At 38.8% G+C, this 19,528-nt stretch overlaps 1 protein-coding gene and 1 long non-coding RNA gene across 5 annotated transcripts in view; one reads left to right on the top strand and one right to left on the bottom strand.

Annotated features, from left to right (window-relative positions):
* Positions 1 to 7,417, top strand: part of TRPA1 (transient receptor potential cation channel subfamily A member 1) — a 68,761-nt gene extending 61,344 nt beyond the window's left edge. For all 3 annotated transcript variants that reach the window (XM_011517625.3, XM_011517624.3, NM_007332.3), the window contains 3 exons: positions 2,594 to 2,707; positions 4,756 to 4,853; positions 5,551 to 7,417. In XM_011517625.3, coding sequence (XP_011515927.1) covers positions 2,594 to 2,707; positions 4,756 to 4,853; positions 5,551 to 5,761 — 423 coding nt within the window. In that variant the 3' untranslated portion in view covers positions 5,762 to 7,417. The remainder of the gene's footprint in view (positions 1 to 2,593; positions 2,708 to 4,755; positions 4,854 to 5,550) is intronic.
* The window catches only part of MSC-AS1 (MSC antisense RNA 1), a 213,190-nt gene that overhangs the window by 27,646 nt on the left and 166,016 nt on the right, over positions 1 to 19,528 (bottom strand). The window lies entirely within an intron of this gene.

The following is a 19,528-nucleotide window of genomic DNA, read 5'->3' as shown; positions in this document are numbered from 1 at the left end:
AATATCAAAAATCAACTGAGAACCATTCATAAATTCTATGTTCTATGACATGGCTGTATATTATACAGAGACACAGAGCGATTGGAACACTTAGAGAACAAACACAGGATCAGGTACAGGAAAAAATGCAAAAATAATTAAGAGAATGCAACATGGAGGGGGTGAGATGAGTCAGTGTTGAAAGATGGTTGGGATTTAACAGGACATCGATACCGTCGTGAAAGGAGGGGCCAGCAAGAGCAAAGGGCCACATCAGAACCAGGGAAAATGGCCAAGGCACTGGCCCAAGGCCCCTTTGCCTGGAAGGATCATTCATGTTAGTGGGTGATTAGATTGCTGCAGATGATAGGGGGGTTTATTCAAAACCAGCAAAGAAAAACCTTAGCAAAGGGCACTAAATGATGAAGTGCTTCAAGTTATTTTGTAAGTTAGTGGAGAGTTATTATCAGCCCTTCTGCAATGAAAATGGTGTTTATAGTGATCTGTTATTATCTTGGTTTAGTGAGGAAAGATTGAAGGCAGGAAAAGCTAATGGCAGGTTATTACTGTCACAAAGATGGTGTTTAGGACTCCAGGTGTATGGATATGGAGAGGAGATGTATAAACCTCTTGGCAGGTATGTCAGCAATACCTCATAACTGCCCTAACAGCTCTTTAAAATACCCTGGGGAATAGATAAAAACAATAATACAAGCAAAATTGGGGAAGCTTACTGAACTAAAGTGTCAGTGGGGTTGAGCTGAAAAGCACAAACCTATATTGTTTACTATGCTCCCTGACAGTCAATGGCACAAATCCTAGTACCCCCCATATTTTCTATGCCTTGTTTTGGATCAAAAACAGCATCGCCTGGAAAACCGGGAAGCCATTCTCCTACTTCTCCTGAGTTGTTTCTTAAGCAACTCTCTGCATCCATTCTGAAACCTATGTCTGAGCCCATGGCAGAACTGTGAGCAGAACTGGACAAGTAGCACACATTTCTGACAGGGCCATTTAGTTCTCTCATAGAATCATCTCGAAGGGAAGTGGAGACAGGCCTTGGGACAATGCATGCTGGGAGATGGGTTCTTTATGGGGACTGTCAGTTCTTCAGGGGCAGGTGTTATGAGTATTTTGAGGGGCTTGAAGCTGTTTGGGTATTTTTAAATGTTGGTATCTCCACTTTCCACCACAGTTTTGGCAGCTGCAGACAGTCCATAAACATTTATATCTCCACTGCAAATTAGAAAGGGAAATCCGCAGCGTGCATCTTACCCTTCAACATGGAAACCCCACCAGTTAGAGGAGGTAAAGATGCTCCCTGAGCCCAGTGGTGCCAGGCTCAGTGGGTCCCACCTGACCCACACTGGACTTGGGGCTTTGCTTGCCAACCTCCCCCAGGACCATCTTTGAGGGACCTATGTAGATAATGAACAGTGTAAGACACACTATGTATTTTATCTGTTGGCAAACATTGAGCTTGAGTAAATCTTTTTCAATCAAGTGTGAGGAAATAGTATGTGACCTCTAAAACTATATGTATGGGAAGAGGAAAGTGATATCACCCTAAAGAGCAAAGGGGAAAAAAGGAACCCTAGAAATTATTATAGAAAATCAGTGAAAATATTTAACTGGTATTATTAATAAAATACAAGAAAACATAGCTTTTCTTGAAGCTGGAACTAATGCACAGTATGTTAAATGGTGATAAGTGCTATAAAAATAGCAAGGAAGCCACATGGGGGAAAGTCATTTGGGGGACAGTGAGGGGGCCACAATTTTAAGCAGTGGTGTCAGGAAAGTTCTTACCATTTCACTATTTATGGCTATAAATCACTAATATTGGAAAGTATTTGTTCTTAGAAAGCAAATCTCACTAGTAGTTACAAGTAGTTACAGTAAACATACCTATACATCAGATACAAAGGGGTGTAAAAAAGCAGAGATAAATTTGGCAAAAATAAATGAAAAAAATTAAATGTGAGGAAATATCTCATTTGCTATCCCTGAAAATAGTAATTATACTTAAAATTCATCATAGAGAAACCATTTTGCACCTGATAGCACAGACATGAGAAATGCATGACATACTCTTAAGCATGAGAGTTCTAATTCTTTTACTGCTTACCTTTGTCTTCCTCCAGTTAAGCACTCCTTCTTCTCTCCTGCCCTAGATGTGTATACATGTGTGCACGTGCACACACGCATTCACACTGTCCAGTTGTGCACATTTTGTAGTATTGCAACACCGCAAGAGTATGAACTACCCTTTTCTTCTTTAAATCTCCAGCATTGAACAATAAAACATCGGGTGACTATCCCTGAACAATAAACAGCAAGTGACTAAAATTGAATTCCTTTTTTAAGCAACTTCCCCCTCTCCTTCTTCTCCCACTCCAAGGCAGATTGCTGCCCTGTCAGTGGGTGAGGTGAGAGGAAGGGGCAGGTGACTGTGAGCTAGGGGATAAGAAAGCCTGGCCAGCCCAGCTGTGGCACAGAAGTCAGGACATAGAAATCAGTTTTCATTTTGCTGTATTAATGATTGCCTCTGTGCCATATAAAAATTCCATATACTAACTAATGATTCTATCAATAAATCCAAAATGCACTTTAGGTGGAACTTCATACCAGCTTAGAGAAGAAGCTGCCACTTTGGTTTCTACGCAAAGTGGATCAGAAATCCACCATCGTGTATCCCAACAAACCCAGATCTGGTGGGATGTTATTCGTAAGTACACATAACAAATAACAACATCAGTAACATGACACTGTTTGACATTCATTCATTGTGTTAACCCTAAGGGGGCCCTTTTATAGACTTTGAGTCTTCTCTGCCTGTGGGCAGAGGAGTTGTGCTTTTAAAAAAAGGATATGATTAAACCAAGACATGAAAGAGCTGGGTGAGAGGAGGGTGACGTTTGCTCTCCCCTTTCAGGTGGTTCATCCATAGCATCTGTGTTAAATGCGTGCTGTCCCTGTGAGAGCAGATGGGCAGGGGACCAGCCACACCCTTTTAGTGTCTTTTTTACAGTACAGGTATACTTTATTTGCTTTTCCTAGTCACATGTCACTTACATTTATGTGTAGATATATATGTGAGTATATACAGCCAAGGGTTTAGAATACACAATAAAGAACACACATTTACACATACACACACTATACATACAATGTATTAATCCATTTTCACACTGCTATAAAGAACTGCCCGAGACTGGGTAGCTTATAAAGGAAAGAGGTTTAATTGACTCACAGTTCTGCATGGCTGAGGAGGCCTCAGGAAACTTGCAATCATGGTGGAAGGTGAAGGGGAAGCAAGGCACCTTCTTCACAGGCAGCAGGAAGGAGAACGAACGCATGAGGAACAACCAAACAATTATAAAACCACCGGATCTCATGAGAACTCACTTACTATCACAAGAACAGCATGGGGGAAACCGCCCCTATGATACAATTACCTCCACCCAGTCTTTCCCTTGACACGTGGGGATTATGGGGATTATAATGCAAGATGAGATTTGGGTGGGGACACAAAGCCTAAACATAGCACGCACACACACACACACACACACACACACACACGAACACACACACACAGCATCCACTATAGAAAATGAGGTAATTAAGTGATCAAAGACTAAGCAAGACAATTGCATTATAATGGAAGAAGGGCCATATGAAGAGCCAGAATAACAGGTTGCTAATCCTTAGTATGCCTGGGCTCCCTTCATCTCTACGACTGTTCTTCCTGAGTTCTTTTCAGGTTAATTTCCCCTGTGTAGTCATAAAATAATAAAGTCACCCTGAGTATCAGTCTAGGCTTTATTCTAACGCCACAGTATCTCTCCAACTGATTTCACACATGTCCATGGTTAAAATTACTACCGAAACAGAATGCTCAGCAACTGATTTCTCAATCCTAGAGCTCACTCTTCAGTTCCCGGACCCTGTATCCAGCTGCCTACTTGACATCTCCACTTGCATGTTTTAAAGGTGCCTCACATTCAGCAGGTTCAAAACCAAACTTCAATGCTTTCACGTTTCACCCTCTCCTGACATATCCCCTACAGGAAAAAATGAAAAAGTCCTGGTTCCTCCTTGCAACAATGTCAGCACAATTCATTAGCCTGTGCAATCCAGCCACCCAGGAGTCATCCTTGATCTGTCCCCTCCCTTTCATTCTCCCCTCAGTCTGGTCCATTTGACTTCCTGGATGGCCTGTGCAAGTCACCATTTTCTCTTGCCTGAACTCCTAGAATTACCTCATTCTTGATCATTTCACACCTGCCCTTGACCCTCTCCAGTCAACCTATGGTTTAAAAGATACTAAATTAAAATGAAATGTGTTAAAATAACATTTCTGAAATTTCTCCAGGTGAAACTTTGTTGATTGGTTGAGTTGTATTGGATAATGTGCAGTACAGTTTTAGATAATTAACAATGAATCTCGTATAGAATACCACCTTCCGTGATGGGCATTTCTCATGAAAATATATAGAACAATTCAGCTAAGCCTCATTCTAAACAATTTCTGTCCTAATTTACTCCTCTTCTGTTTTATCTGTACATGTTTTATTTCTCTCTGATTATATGTATGACTTCCTTTCACAGCTCTTTCTTCACATGTCTCTTTCTCCTAGCAGATTGTGGGTTCCTTGAGGGCATAGCTATGCCTTATGCATATTGGTACCAGTGGTGGTTGAATTTTGGCACATGCTTAAGAAAAAGTTCCTGAATTGAATTCAATTTGAGTAACTACTATTTTTTATCCGACAGCATATATTCTGTTTTTTATTTTGCACTGGGGAAATAAGACAAGAAATACCAAATGCTGATAAATCTTTAGAAATGGAAATATTAAAGCAGAAATACCGGTATGTATTTTTCCTTCTATCTGTACTTGAGAAATTTAAAACTCATAAATAATAATGCACAATGTAAGATTATATTTTATATTGATGTTTTTGTTTTATATATTATCTTGCTTTATTGATAGCTGTAGCTAGTGTATTGAGAGTCATGAGACATTTTTTAGAACCAACAACATATTTGCCACTATTCACCAATCAGTTTGCCTTCCAATCATAAGTGAATAAAAATTAAAATGCTGATTTCCTTTCTCTTGGAGGTAGTATCATAAACTGTATTCTTCATCTGAATTCATAAAGCAAAGCTCTGAAAGCTTCTGAAGATCCCTGGAGTAACTATGTGGTGGGCAGTCATTAAGCATGAGGGTTTTACAGTTAGTTAGTACCTGAGTTCAAACCCCTATTCAACTAGGTACGTAATAACTGTGACCCTGGGCAATCTGCTTAACCTTTCTCTATAATAGTTTCTTACCTATAAACTGGGAACAAAAATAAACTAGCCATGAACTAACAGTGTAACTTTGGGAAAAATCATTTAAACTTCAAAAATACATGTTTCCTGGAAGGATTGTGACTACCGAGGTTAAAACCTATGCGTTCCTACATTCAGAAGGGACCGAGGTTAAAACCTATGCCTTCCTACATTCAGAAGGGCTAAAAGAAGAACTGAAAATAAATTCATGAAATGTGTATGTCCTTTTAGGCTGAAGGATCTTACTTTTCTCCTGGAAAAACAGCATGAGCTCATTAAACTGATCATTCAGAAGATGGAGATCATCTCTGAGACAGAGGATGATGATAGCCATTGTTCTTTTCAAGACAGGTTTAAGAAAGAGCAGATGGAACAAAGGAATAGCAGATGGAATACTGTGTTGAGAGCAGTCAAGGCAAAAACACACCATCTTGAGCCTTAGCTCCTCAGACCTTCAGTGAGGCTTCTAATGGGGGGTGCATGACTTGCTGGTTCTAACTTTCAATTTAAAAAGAGTGAGGAAGAAGCAGAATGATTCATTTTGCTGCGTGTGAAATCATGGTTCCTGCATGCTGTATAAAAGTAAACCATCTTTTATCCTCTATTCATATTTTCTACCAATCACTATGTATTGGGGATATCTTTGCAGATATGTTCAAATTGGACTGGACTTTGATGAGATATAATCTCATTATTTGAATGGGTAGAAAATGAATTTGCTAGAACACACATTTTTAATGAAAAGAAGTAATAAATGTAACTATTAAGCTAAAATGCAAATGTCAGTACTGAATTCCTGCTTGTTAATTACATAATATGTGATGCTCTAGAAAATAGTCACAAGTATTAATAATGCCTTAGATGATAGTCTTAAATATTAGGTTGAGGTCTACCTAACCTAAGCTGCTTCCTGGAAAGCTTCATGTTGAAAGAACCTATGGGTGGCACCATGTGGACTTTTCTGTCCCTACTGTGATGAATAGCCCCACCCTTCTTGCTGTCCCCAACACACCTGATGTCACTTTGAGCCATATAGTTGAAGTACAAATTAATAGGCCTTATGATATGCACGAATTTTACTATAGATAATATATGTTGTTTCTGGTTTTGTTTGCCAATGAGCATAATAAATGTAAAACCTATATAGTATCCCTGTGATTATTGTATGAGCCTTTGTTTGAGATTTGAAAACAACATGGCTCCATCACATATTCCCTTTTTTCTTTTGATGTCTACTCAAATCATGAATTAATCACATACCTCATCATTAATCTTTTCAAGGTCCTTCTATTGTTTTGTCTGATTTTCTCCATCATCCTGATTAGCATGTTTATTCCCTCACTACCCCCAGGAGATATTCACTGTAATGAATATGTCTTTGGCTATGTATGTGTCCTTGTGTTATGTTGTACAGTGTTGTTTTGAGTCTGTTATTATTTACACAGATGTTATTATGCTATAGCTTCTATTTCTGTTTTTGCTTCTTATTTCTCTTATAATTCTCACTTATTTCCTATTTTTTCTACTCATTTCTATTTGTTACTCCTTTTTACTGGACATGATGTTTACAAGATACAACTGTGTTACTGTATTCCATCTAGTACGGGGCCTTTGGTGTGGCTTACTATTTCATTGTGTGCACCCACCCACCCACCACACTGGACTTTTCTAGAGATGGACAGCTTGGTTACCTCCACCTTCCTGCACTCATTCTCAAACATACTGATGTTCATACAAACCAGCAGAGTGCTGAGGGACGATATGTACTATTACAAAACCAGACACTTTTACATTCATGGTCCAACAGATCACATGGCCTAGAGGCAATGTTGCATATACCTTAATCTTTGATATGAATAATATCTTTGTTCTTTATATTTCTTAAAACAGAAAGGGTGGAAAATCACTATACAGAAGCAATATCCAAAGATCTCCTGATCATAAAGACAAGGGGTCTTTTCAGTCTTCCCTCTCCTCAAACCTTGTGTAGCATTGCACAATATAGATCTCAGTCAACATTCACTGAGTGCCAAGAATGTGAGAAACACTGTACCATGCCTGTCATGCGAAATATTTAAATAAACAGATTGTCTTACAACAATGTCACCAACCTGTACTCTCAAGAAGCTTACAATTTAGTGGTGTTCATTTATTTCTGCAGTTCTTTCTCCTTTACCCCCAAACACAGAACTGCTTTTCCACTGTTTCCACTGATTGCTGCTTCTCTCTTTCTCGACTGGCTTCTCTTTCCTGCCAACTAACTCCATGTGTACATCCCTGAGGTCTGTACCTGGCTCTGTTTCCTCTCTTTCCTCACTTCTGCTCCTTCTCCTAAAGTCCAGTCCAACATTTCTACAGTTCTTCAAATTAAATACATAGAAACCTGAATTTGGTGGTAAGAGAAACAAACCAACTCCTCTGGACTTCCTATTTCCCATCAGTGGTACCAGGATTCTCTCAAGCTCCTAGACTCGAAAGGACTCAACATACTAAGTTGAGTTAATCTTCCTAAAGTGGAGCTCTAAGCCTTCACACCCATCTAAAAAGCTTAAAGATTTTCTCTTTCTTCATAAGCAAACTAATCCTCTTAACCTGCCTTCTCAATCTAAATTAGCTTTATCTTCCAGCATTCTTCATTTCATCCAAATTGGAAGACCATTGTTTCATGAAGACACTATGTTTTCCCATCTCCCTACAGCCAACTCTATTCTCTTCCAGCCAGAATGTCCCCTCTCTAACTCTTAAAGCTCAGTTTAAATGGCATCTCCACCTTGAAGTATTTTCCTAATGGTCCCCACTCATTATGCTTCCTGCCTCCTCGGAACTGGCACAGACTGCACTTCTCCTCTGCTACTGCAGCCTATTATGGTGACTATGACTTGCCACGTGTCCTCCCCTAACTAAAGGGTAGACTCCCCGAGCTTTATGGGTCATTATCACCAGTAGTCTCAAAGGAGGCAAAGAATTACATCCTATTTCATTTTTTTTTCATTTTGTGGAGCTTCCAGCACTGTGCCTTGCACATAACAGATGCTCAACAAATACAAATACACAAATAAGAGAAATCAGTGAAAATAATAAATACCATGGACCTGAAAGAGACTGCAAGAAAACTGGCTCAGTTTGCCTCAGAAAAGTGGTTTAGTGTCCTTTTTCTGTTGATACTGTGTCCTAGAGAAGTTAAATGACTTGCCTCTAAGTGGTGGAAGAAGCATTAAACACCACTTTCCTGCCTTTTTATTCCCACCAGTTCAATCTGGGCTGTTGTTTTAATGATCGTTAACTATGATTAGCATGGACAATTGAAAGGTTTGTGTTTTGCAGGAAGACAACTTGTGCCTTCGTACTGACTCTAATTCCTGTTGGTTGAGTGACTCTGGGCATATGTCCTCCTCTCTAAAATGATGATGATAGAATATATTCTTTATGGTGTTGGTAGAATTGGACAACCACACGCATACAGAGTACCTAACTCAGTAAACGCTATTGCAATGTGTTCAAGGAAACTGATTTACCTGAGATAAAGGGGGTTACAAAGCACACTAGGATTTTCATATCATACCAATTACCCATGGAATTTCTTTGGAAGTTAATTAATTAGCAGCTTGATATAAATTGAAGCTCCCAGGTACTTCTGAATCCCCTTAGCCAAACAAATCCTGGAATGTGTGTAGTAAAATAAAAACCTTACATTTAGAGAAAATTTTGATTAAAATGTTTCAGCACTTTTGTCATCTTTATTTTTGCTTTAGACTCAATTCATTAAACATTGATGGAGCACCAACTCCTTGCTAGTCAGAGTAAATCATCATCAATGAATATTTTTTAACCATTTTGGACATTTTGATGTGAGCACATTAAATAATAACAAAAAGAAAAGGCTTATGAAGTTTACTGTGTATCAGGCACTGTTCCAAGCACTATGTACTAACTCACTTGATTCTCAAAACCTATGTGGTAGGCGCTATGATAATTATCATCCTTGTTTTGTAAAACAAATCATGACACTTCTAGGCTGAGTAGCTTGTTCGAGGTCACATTGCTGAGATGTAAACTCAGGCAGTCTGCTTCTAGATTTTGTGTTCTTAATACAAAGCTATACTATCTCTTAAATAAGAATCGGACAAAAGAGCACCCTTTCTTCATTGACTTTATACTTCAGAGGTTACTGAGTGGATACCTGCAATGTAACATTCATAGGTAAGTGCATTTTAAGGTTAAGGGACATGGGACACCACAAACATAATAAAAACAAGTGATCAGACACTGAAGTCAGGAAGCCTGAGTCATAGACTTCAGACTTATGGCACAATTGTTGAAGGTATAGATGAGTGAAGTTGTTTAACCCATCATGAAATTTAACCCATCATGAAGCCACAGAGTGAACTGAACTGGGCTGATTCCTAGAATCTGAAGCAAGTCGTCTTGTCATTTGGCTCTGATTTTGCTTGTTAGTTTTAGTGAAGTGATAGGAGACGACAGAAGACAGGAAGATGTGGGCTACCCCTTGCCATTTCCAGCTCCAGACACCCTACGAAAGGTGTCCAGCTAGGAGGCAAAAGGAGGCACGATCCTGAGCTGCAAACATCAAGGAAACCGCTGAGGGAAACAGCGCCCTCTAGGGGTGTAATTGATATTGAGCTGGAACCAGAAGACCTCATTGAGACCTCCCTTGTGTGCAGGAGGATCTCTCATCTCAGGAAAACCTACAGCGACATTAACCTATGCTTCTGCTCCTCTTTCTATTGAGATTTAATATCGCAAGTCCAAAGGCAGATGGTGGCACTTATTTAAAAAGTTTCCATTTCAATCGCTTCAGATAATACAGGCTGCCAATAAATAGATGCACAAAACAGGTGTATGAAGTGGTATGGTAGTCCTCCGTTATCCCTAGTTTCTCTTTCTAAAGTTTCAGTTATCAGCGGTCTACCACGATCAGAAAATAGGTGAGTACAGTACAATAAGATATTTTGACAGTAAGGGACTACAGTCACATAAATTTAGTATATTGTTATATAATTGCCCTATTTTATTATTAGTTGTTATTATTATTTCTTTTTGTGCCGGATTTGTAAACTAAACTTTATTATAAGTATGTATGTATGTATGTATGTATGTGAGAAAACATAGTATATATATATACACACACACACACACACATACATATATAGGGTTCGGTGCTATTCATGCTTTCAGGCATCCACTAGGGGTCTTGGAACGTATCCCCCCACAGAAAAGGGAGGAACACTATACTTTTATGTGAATCAGAAATACTTAATAGCTTAAATAAGACATAATCCGCTCTCCAGAACCAAGTCTGAAAAAAATAAGTATTGAGGGAGAAAACTCTCAGAAGAGACAGTTATCAGTGGTAATTTAGGTTGTTTTAAAAATTCATGGAGAAGAGGATGAAGAAGACGGAGATTATCACTCATGGGCAGCATGTCTGTGCTTGTGTCAGTACCAGCAAAACCTGAAAGGAAAACTTCACCTGCACCTTCTAAACTTGCAACAATCTAATTTGAAGCAATATCAAGGCTCAGGAATCTATTAGAATGACAACCAGCTTCTACAGCCCCACAGGAACAGTTACTCCCAAACTCAGATTTCTCAACAAACATTACTGCAGGCATATTCCAGAGGCAAAGCAGGGATCCTCAGTTAAGGTCTTTCACAAAAGGGAAAAATATGAGGAAAAGTCAAATGGCTCAACAAAGGCAGTTTGTTTTTCTGTCTACAAGTCAACTCAGTAATGGCAAACCCCCTGTAAATCAGTGGAGATCCATATGCCTTGCAGATGCAGATCATTAATTCTGAAGGAACCAAAACTGTCTAAGGCCAGGGGAAGTGGCTCATGTCTATGATCCCAACACTTTGGGAGACCACGGTGGGAGGATTGCTTGAGTCCTGGGGTTCGAGACCAGTCTGGGCAATACAGTGAGACCCCATATCTACAAAAATTTTAAAAATAGCCTGTCATGGTGGCAGGCACCTGTAGTCCCAGCTACTCAACAGGCTGAAATAGGAGGATCACTTGAACTCAGCGGGGTCAAGGCTTCAGTGAGCCGTTATTGCACCACTGCACTCCAGCCTGGACAACAGAGCAAGTCCCTGTCTCAAAAATAAAAAAGAAAAAGAAAAAAAACTGTCTAAAGAATTCATAATCGAAATAATCCAGAAGTTGAGGTTCAAGACTGCAGGTATCTGTACTTTCAGGATACCACAGGCAGACACAACATCTTTCATAATCCGATAAACCTCCAAGCATCAAGTTTTCTGTGATGTTGTATGGTGTCCACAGTCCTTGAGATACAGGTTAGGTAGTGCAAATAACTAAAACCAGTAAGCCAGACTGCAGTCTTCAGCAAGGGACTTAAAGTCTCTTCTACTGCAGCAGTCTCTTCTACCCCAGCAGTTGATCAGCAAGCATCTTCATGACCCAGATGGTTGCCTTTCAAATTCTGAGTGTGGTAAAAGAAACCAGAAAACTCTTGGAGAGCTGTAATACTGAATTGTAAACATGTGTGCATTTATCACCATCCTGTATCACTTTGAAAACTTTCCCAATTATAAATATGCTAAAATCACCCAAATTTAAATAAGATGGAGGATTTATTAAATCAAATAGTCTTTTTACTTGTCGCAGGGCAAATGCTGAAAGTGGGACTCACCCCAGGAGGCCACGTGGGTTTTTGGCTTTCTGCAGGAAAAAATTCAAGAGCAAGCCAATAGAGTAAAGTGAAAGCAAGTTTATTAAAAAGTAAAGGAATAAAAGAGTGGTTACTCTATAGGCAGTGCAGCCCTAAGGGCTGCTGATTGGCTATTTTTATGGTTATTTCTTGATCATATGATAAATAAGGGGTGGATTATTCATGAGTTTCCTGAGAAAGGAGCAGGGGATTCCCAGAACTGAGGGCTCCTCCCACTGAAAGACCATATAGGTTAACTTCCAGATGTTACCATGGCATTTGTAAACTGTTGTGACACCAGTGGGCTCTTCCTTTAGTATGCTAATGTATTATAATTAGCATATAATGAGCAGTGAGGATGACCAGAAGTCACTTTTGTTGCCATCTTGGTTTTGGCAGATTTTGGCTGGCTTCTTTATTGCATCCTGTTTTACCAGCAAGGTCTTTGTGATTCGTATCTTGTGAAACAAGTCCTGCTGAACTCCTGTCTCATTCCCAAGTATAAAACCAAGTTGTGCCCCTAAAACCTCTATAGCATCCCAGTCTAGTGGTCAGCTCTGCCATTCCTTCTCAGTTGATAAGATAATGAAATGGCCCTTCACTCATCCAAATTACTGTAAACTTAACACCCAGTGTGCAGGATCTGACTGTACCTTTTAACATCCTTTGTTTCTATGCTGCCACATGAGTCCTTGAAATGCAGAAGACACAAGCCCATAAAGGACACTGTCAGTAAATAACCAGCCAGAGGATCAGAGATTTTGAAAGTTTCCATCAATTAGTCAATGACAACGCACAGAGCTTTGTCAAACCTTTGAAATATGGAACATGTTAATTTCACAATATGAAGTAAATTGCTTATGGGACATGCTTTTTTTTGCATGCTTTTAAAGTGGTTTCTATATTTTTTAACTGTAAAGAAAAGTCAACAAGAGATAAAGCTAAGTTCTACTAAAACATTTTGAGCTATGTTTTATATTGCCATTTTAAGTCTTAGCACTTAGAATGAGAATCATCAAAATGTGGTGACTCTTTGTTAACAAAGATAATACCACGAGGGCTTCACTGATGTTCTTTGGGAGTGGAGATTCATCAAGTGGAGTATCTCGAAAAAGCTGGATTGCTGCTTTGAGTTTTCCCCAAGAAAATTCAATTATCATATGCCAGTTTGAAAACAGAATAAAGCCCCAAAGTGCCAAGTGGCTTAAAGTAGTCATTGCATTCTATTTTTTGTTAAGTTTTTCTTTAATTGGAAAAGTATTAGGGTCAATAGAGCCAAAAGGTGGGGTCGGCCTTTCAAGTTTGGCACAGTTTTGCTGCTTGGGTACAGTGTTTTTTAAAATTCAGGTTCTTAACTTCTTGGAAAAGATGAATGGGAAAGAAATCAGAATGGGGGTATTTTGATTAAATTATTTAGAATGGCAATTACAAAAATAAGTACGTGTTTTAAATGTTTTCATTTATTGTTATGATTTGCATTTAAATAATTATTTTTGGAAATAATTTTCAAGAAAAAATATATGTATATATACATAAAGTATCAGAAAATAGTAATTAGCTGCAAAATTTAAGCTTACAGGGATGAGTAAATATATTTTTACAGTCTGAAAAGCAACTATTTACAAGTGAATAGTTTATAGCAACTATTTACAAGTGAGTGTACTGAGAGTTATTACTAAAGATAACTTGAAATGTAAAATCTGGCTTTAAAAGTATATTTTAAATGACAGTATAATGTTACACAAATCAGATGGGTAAATAGCAAACTAGGATTATACACTTGAGATATGCTAATATACAGAGTTTCATCTGTTATTAACATTTTTATTAAGACAAGAAGTATTAGATACCTTCTAAACAACGAATGTATCACTGATTTAAAAAAATAACCACTTAGTCACTGAGCAGCTATCATAACCTTCAAAGGAGAAGATTTAAGGCAACACAAACAAAAATATGCTAGCTTAACCTTGCATGTAAATCTTCTGAGAGTCTGCTCTAGACAGAGGTTTCAATTCTGCACCGCCTAATGCGTGTGACCCACAGAATTCCCAGCTGGATTTAGCTTGTCTGCACTGCACTTTTAAAACAAGCTAGAAAAAGGCAAACTCCCTGTTCTTCTGGTGCCATATGTGTATATTTTGGCTATTTCAGGGTATAGGGTAATGGAAAAAAAGCACCCTTTGTTTCATTTTTCATCATAATGAGGCTCCCCATTTGACATGTATGACAATTCTACCAGATAAGACAAGACCAATACAACACAGGGCAGAAACATGAAGAAAAGAATATTTTCTAAGGTCTTCTTGGGCACTACATAGTTGTTTTATGATATTTTAAAATTTATTTTTAACTGATCATGCCCAAAGCCAAACTTTGTTACAAGAGACATCTATAAATATTTACTAATCAACGAATGTTACAACAGACAAGGAACGCAATAGCATGAATGTATTACAACACAGGGTACATGGGCAGATGTTTATGGGAAAATGACTAACCCGTTCATAAATTATCACTGTTTACATTTCAAAGCCCAAGCCAGCTGCTTTGTAATGACAGATTATATCTTCAGTATTGATCACTGACAGCTATAAAAAGTCAGGCTGTTTGGCTTTCACAGGTACGAGTGGTGAACAGAAGATGAAATACCTTATCTCATTCATTTTTCTTAGCAAGGACTCAATTCTATTCAAATTAAAGATACTGCTTCATAACATACTTGTAACTAAAAAATATAGGGTGGATAATTTCTTTTTTTAATTGTTCAGAAATCAAGAATATAATTTAAACAAAATAAGTATGTATTAGTACATGGGAAAAAAGATAAAAAGAAACAAAACAGGCAATATAAGAAAAGCTTAAAAAATTAAGTAAAAGAAAACATCAAGACCTACAAAAATGCAAAAACATGAACAAGACTACACAAGTAAAATAAAATCTATGAGTTCTGACAACCAATCTAAACTTCAGTAAAAAACACAATACTTCCTTTCTGGGTTAAAAAAATGTAATCGCTAGAGAATAATCTAAACTAGTATTATAGAAAGATGAACAAATAAATATACAAATATAAAGAGCAGGAGTGACAAAATGAACTTAACCCAAAGAATGCAAGGGAAAAAATATAAAATTAGGCAAAATTATTGCTTTACACGGACAAAGATTTGACCTACAAGGAAGTCATGAGTTATTAACCTTTTTGCTTTCAATAAGTTACCAAAATATGTCGAGTTATAATTAGTAGAAGTGAATCATTGATGAATATATTGTTGGAGAGTCTTATAACACCTCCATTAGCCTAATCCCAGCTCCACACTTAGGAACTGTGTGACCCGCAAAGGTTATTAGAACACTGTTGCCAAGGAACTAGGAGAGAAGAGTCTGCTAGGACAAGGCACCAGCAGAGAACAGCCACTGCTGGAGAAACACAGGTACCCAAGCTAAGTTTCCAGGTCAAAGCAGGGACCAGATGAAGTCAGGAAGATCAGTCTGTAAAAGATACGAGCATTTCTGAAGCCTTTAAATAGCTGAATACATTGTATAGCGTTACTTCCTCACCTGACCCAGGTTAACCTCTTTTTATGTCAGTCCCCATTTTTCCCTTCCAATTTCTAACATTCATATTCCATTTTGAATAATTAAAAAGTTTTTTAAAAAATTAGTAACTCATGGAACTTGAGTTTGTGGATAGAGAAGGAAAACAATAACTAAGTCTGAACCAATAGTGGGCCTTGCCCTCTTCTCCTTGAACCTAGGTTTTAATGACAAAAATGAAGCTATTTTGGTCCACAAAGCAATCAAGGGTCCCTTTAGCCATCTCTGTGTCCCTTCACTAATTAATTCACCACCTAGACTTCAGCTGAAAAGACCTGCCCTACTCCAGCTATTTAGTTTAGCTCTATGTTCCTTCATTACTTGCTCATCATATGGGGGTTTGTCCCTTATTTCCTCACCCCTCTGAACAACATGCTTCTTTAACAGCTGGTCCTGAGGGTCAATAGGGTGTTTTAGTGTTCTCATTTGGTCTTTCAATAAGATGCCATTTCTTCTTGACTCTTGTATGTTCTAGTGCCTTGCTATTCAAGGTGTGGCCTGTGGGCCAGCAGCATGGGCACCCTCTGAGAGCCTGTTAGACATACAAGATCTCTGGCCAGTCATGGTGGTTCACGCCTGTAATCCCAGAGCTTTGGGAGGCCGAAGCAGGTGGATTGCCTTGAGTTGAGGAGTTCAAGATCAGACTGGGCAACAAAGCAAGACCCCGTCTCCACAAAAAAATTAAAAAATTAGCTAGGTGTGGTGGCATGCACCTGTAGTCCCAGCTACCTGGGAGGTTGAGGTGGGATGATCATCTGATCCACGGAGTTTGAGGATCCAGTGAGCTGTGATCATGCCACTGAACCTCAGCCTGGATGACAGAGTGAGACCTTGTTTCAAATAAAAGAAGAAAAAAGAAGATGAAATGTAGGATCTCAGGTCCCTGCCCTAGGCACTCTTCCCTCCTAAATCAGAATTTGCATTTTAGTAAGTTCCCTTGGCAATTCATATGCAAGTTAAGGTCTGAAAAGTACTACCTAATGAAGTTTCACACTAACACTGCTGGATGCTTCATTTAAAATCAATCAAGTGGCCGGCGCAGTGGCTCACGCCTGTAATCCCAGCACTTTGGGAGGCTGAGGCGGGCGGATCACAAGATCAGGAGATCGAGACCATCCTGGCTAACACGGTGAAACCTCATCTCTACTAAAAATACAAAAAATTAGCCGGGCGTGGTAGCAGGCAACTGTAGTCCCAGCTACTCAGGAGGCCGAGGCAGGAGAATGGCGTCAACCCGGGAGGCGGAGCTTGCAGTGAGCTGAGATCAGACCACTGCACTCCAGCCTGGGCAACAGAGCAAGATTCTGTCTAAAAAAAAAAAAAAAAAATCAATCAAGCAAACTATAGTCAAAAATAGAAAATGCTGCATACTTTAACTATCTCCACTACCTCCTGTGTTCACAATGCACATTGGCTTAATAAGGCTCTGAGAAAACTTGTAGTAAGTAAACCAATTTTTTTTTTTTTTACTTCACTATTTTCCAAACTTATATATCCACGGGTCCCCTGGCACATAATAACTATTAACATCCTTCAGGATTTATGATCTATGGAACACATTTTGAGAAACACTGGTGTAATGGACATATTTGATGAAAGGAAGCAAATGACTAATTAGACACTTCTTTGCATTGCAGTTTCTTCATCGATGCAATAGAGGTAAAATAGGACCTATCCATCTCAAAGCGTAGCTTTGAGAAGAAAAGGAAGTGGATGTCAAAACCTTTTGAAAATGCAAGTGTTTGGGATACTTTCATTCATTTATTTTTTCACTTAACAAATACTTATGAGTGCTTACTCTGTCCCAGGCCTGTGCCATGTGTGGGGGCTACAGCAGTGAGAAAAGCTCCTGCTTTCACGGAGCCAAAAATCAATCCGAGTGAATTAAGGATTCAGATTTATAGACCACAAATGTAGGCAGTGATTCCCAAGAGGTAAAACATTGCTAAGAGTCCCATCAGTGTTATTTTAATTCAAAATGATTTATTTAACTAGAAGAAGGCCTTCTCAAAACCATAAGGGAGCAGGAGTACCTACTGAGTAATAATAATGTTAAGATTTATACAGAACTTACGGATGTCATCTAACCAACGGTGTGCTGGCAAGCTAGCCCCTGTTGTATAGTATTTGCAAATATCTGTAGTGTAAATATTCTCACCATGGCCAATTAATTTCAAACTACCAATATGATGTCACTGGATGTGAGGATGGGAAGATTGGCAGAATCAGAAAAAAGGTGTACTATTGGTCATTGTGAGCCAGTACAAACCAACTGCAGTACATCATGGCATGGACCATTCTAAACATTTCACATAAAATAAATCATAACTACCCTATAAGAGAGTAACTAGCATCTTCCCTATTTTATAGATGAGGAAATTGAAGCTCAAAAAGATTACATAACTCTTCCAAACCAAGCAACTAGGAAAGGAGGTGATATGGTTTGGCTGTGTCCCCACCCACATCTCATCTTGAATCCCCACATGTTGTGGGTGGAAGGGACCCAGTGGGAGATAGTTGAATCATGGGGGCAGTTTTCCACATACTGTTCTCATGGTAGTGAATAAGTCTCACAAGATCTGATGGTTTCATAAGGGGAAATCCATTTTGCTTGGCTCTCATACTTTCTGTCTGCTGCCATCCACGTAAGATGTGACTTGCTCCTTCTTGCCTTCCACCATGATTGTGAGGCTTCCCCAGTGAAGTGGAACTGTAAGTCCAATTAAAACCCTTTATTTTGTAAATTACCCAGTCTTGGGTATGGCTTCATCAACAGCATGAAAACAGACTAATACAGGAGGCTAGCATTTGAACTTAGAGACATATGACTCTAGAGACCTATCCTCAAACACTATGGCCCAGTACTTACTAAGCTTGCCACTGGCAAGCTGTGAGGTAATCCCAAAGGTTAGTGTCAGCCAAATCCACCTCATTCACTTATTCATTCAATAAGCAACCAAGAATACTCAAGGATAGTGAATATGCTTTGGATGAGATGCTTACAATTGCTTCACTGGGGTGAAAATATTCTATTTGGACAGTAAAATAAACTCAGTATTTGGATTTGGCTCACACACTTCTCTGTGACAGAGCTTCATTTTCATAGGACAGCCACAACAAAATTCCCTTATTTTGGCATTCCAGAGAAACTGACATTTGGCCACACTGCTAAAATTGATAGACTGAGAAATTATGACAGAAGTTCAGATGGGTACATGGATATGTGTATGTAGTTTCTGCTGTCTGAATGGTGTGAAAATTGCCCTAGATTAAGCTAAGGTTATTCTAGTCAGCCTTTAATTGGCTAAGATTGTATATTGGTTTGCTAAGGCTAGAAAATAAATAACAGACATTTATTGTCTCAGAGTTCTAGAGGCTTGCCAAGATGTCAGCAGGCTTGATTCCTTCTCAGAGCTGTGAGAGAGAATCTGCTCCAAACCTCGTTCCTAGCTTCTTGTGATTTGCTGGCGATCTTTGCCGTTTCTTTGTTTATAGAGGAATCACCTGGATCCATGCCTTCATCTACACAGCATTCTGTGTGTGTGTGTTTGTGTGTGTGTGTGTGTGTCCCTGTGCGTGTGTCTGCCTTTGTACCCCAATTTCCCCTTTTTATAAGAAGAGCAGTCATATTGGATTAGAGACCACTTTAATGACCTCATCTTAACTGTTAATAATTACATCTGCAATGACCCTATTTCCAAGTAAAGTCACATTCTGAAGTACCTTGGGTTAATGCTTCAACCTAAGAATTTTGGGGGAAGGAGGGGAATGCAATAAAAGATCTGTCTCCAAAAGCAAAACTCAAAATAACTATGCTTTAAAAAATAATACAAACAAAAAGTTTATTTATCTCTATAAACAAAGTCTAAAAGTGAGTCCTACTAGACTAATAGGCTAATACGGCAACTCTGTTCCACATAATC

This window comes from Homo sapiens, chromosome 8 (assembly GCF_000001405.40).
Source record: "Homo sapiens chromosome 8, GRCh38.p14 Primary Assembly".
Classification (NCBI taxonomy): domain Eukaryota; kingdom Metazoa; phylum Chordata; class Mammalia; order Primates; family Hominidae; genus Homo; species Homo sapiens.
The sequence above is the reverse complement of the archived record's forward strand: the minus strand, read 5'-3'. Positions and strand labels throughout refer to the sequence as shown.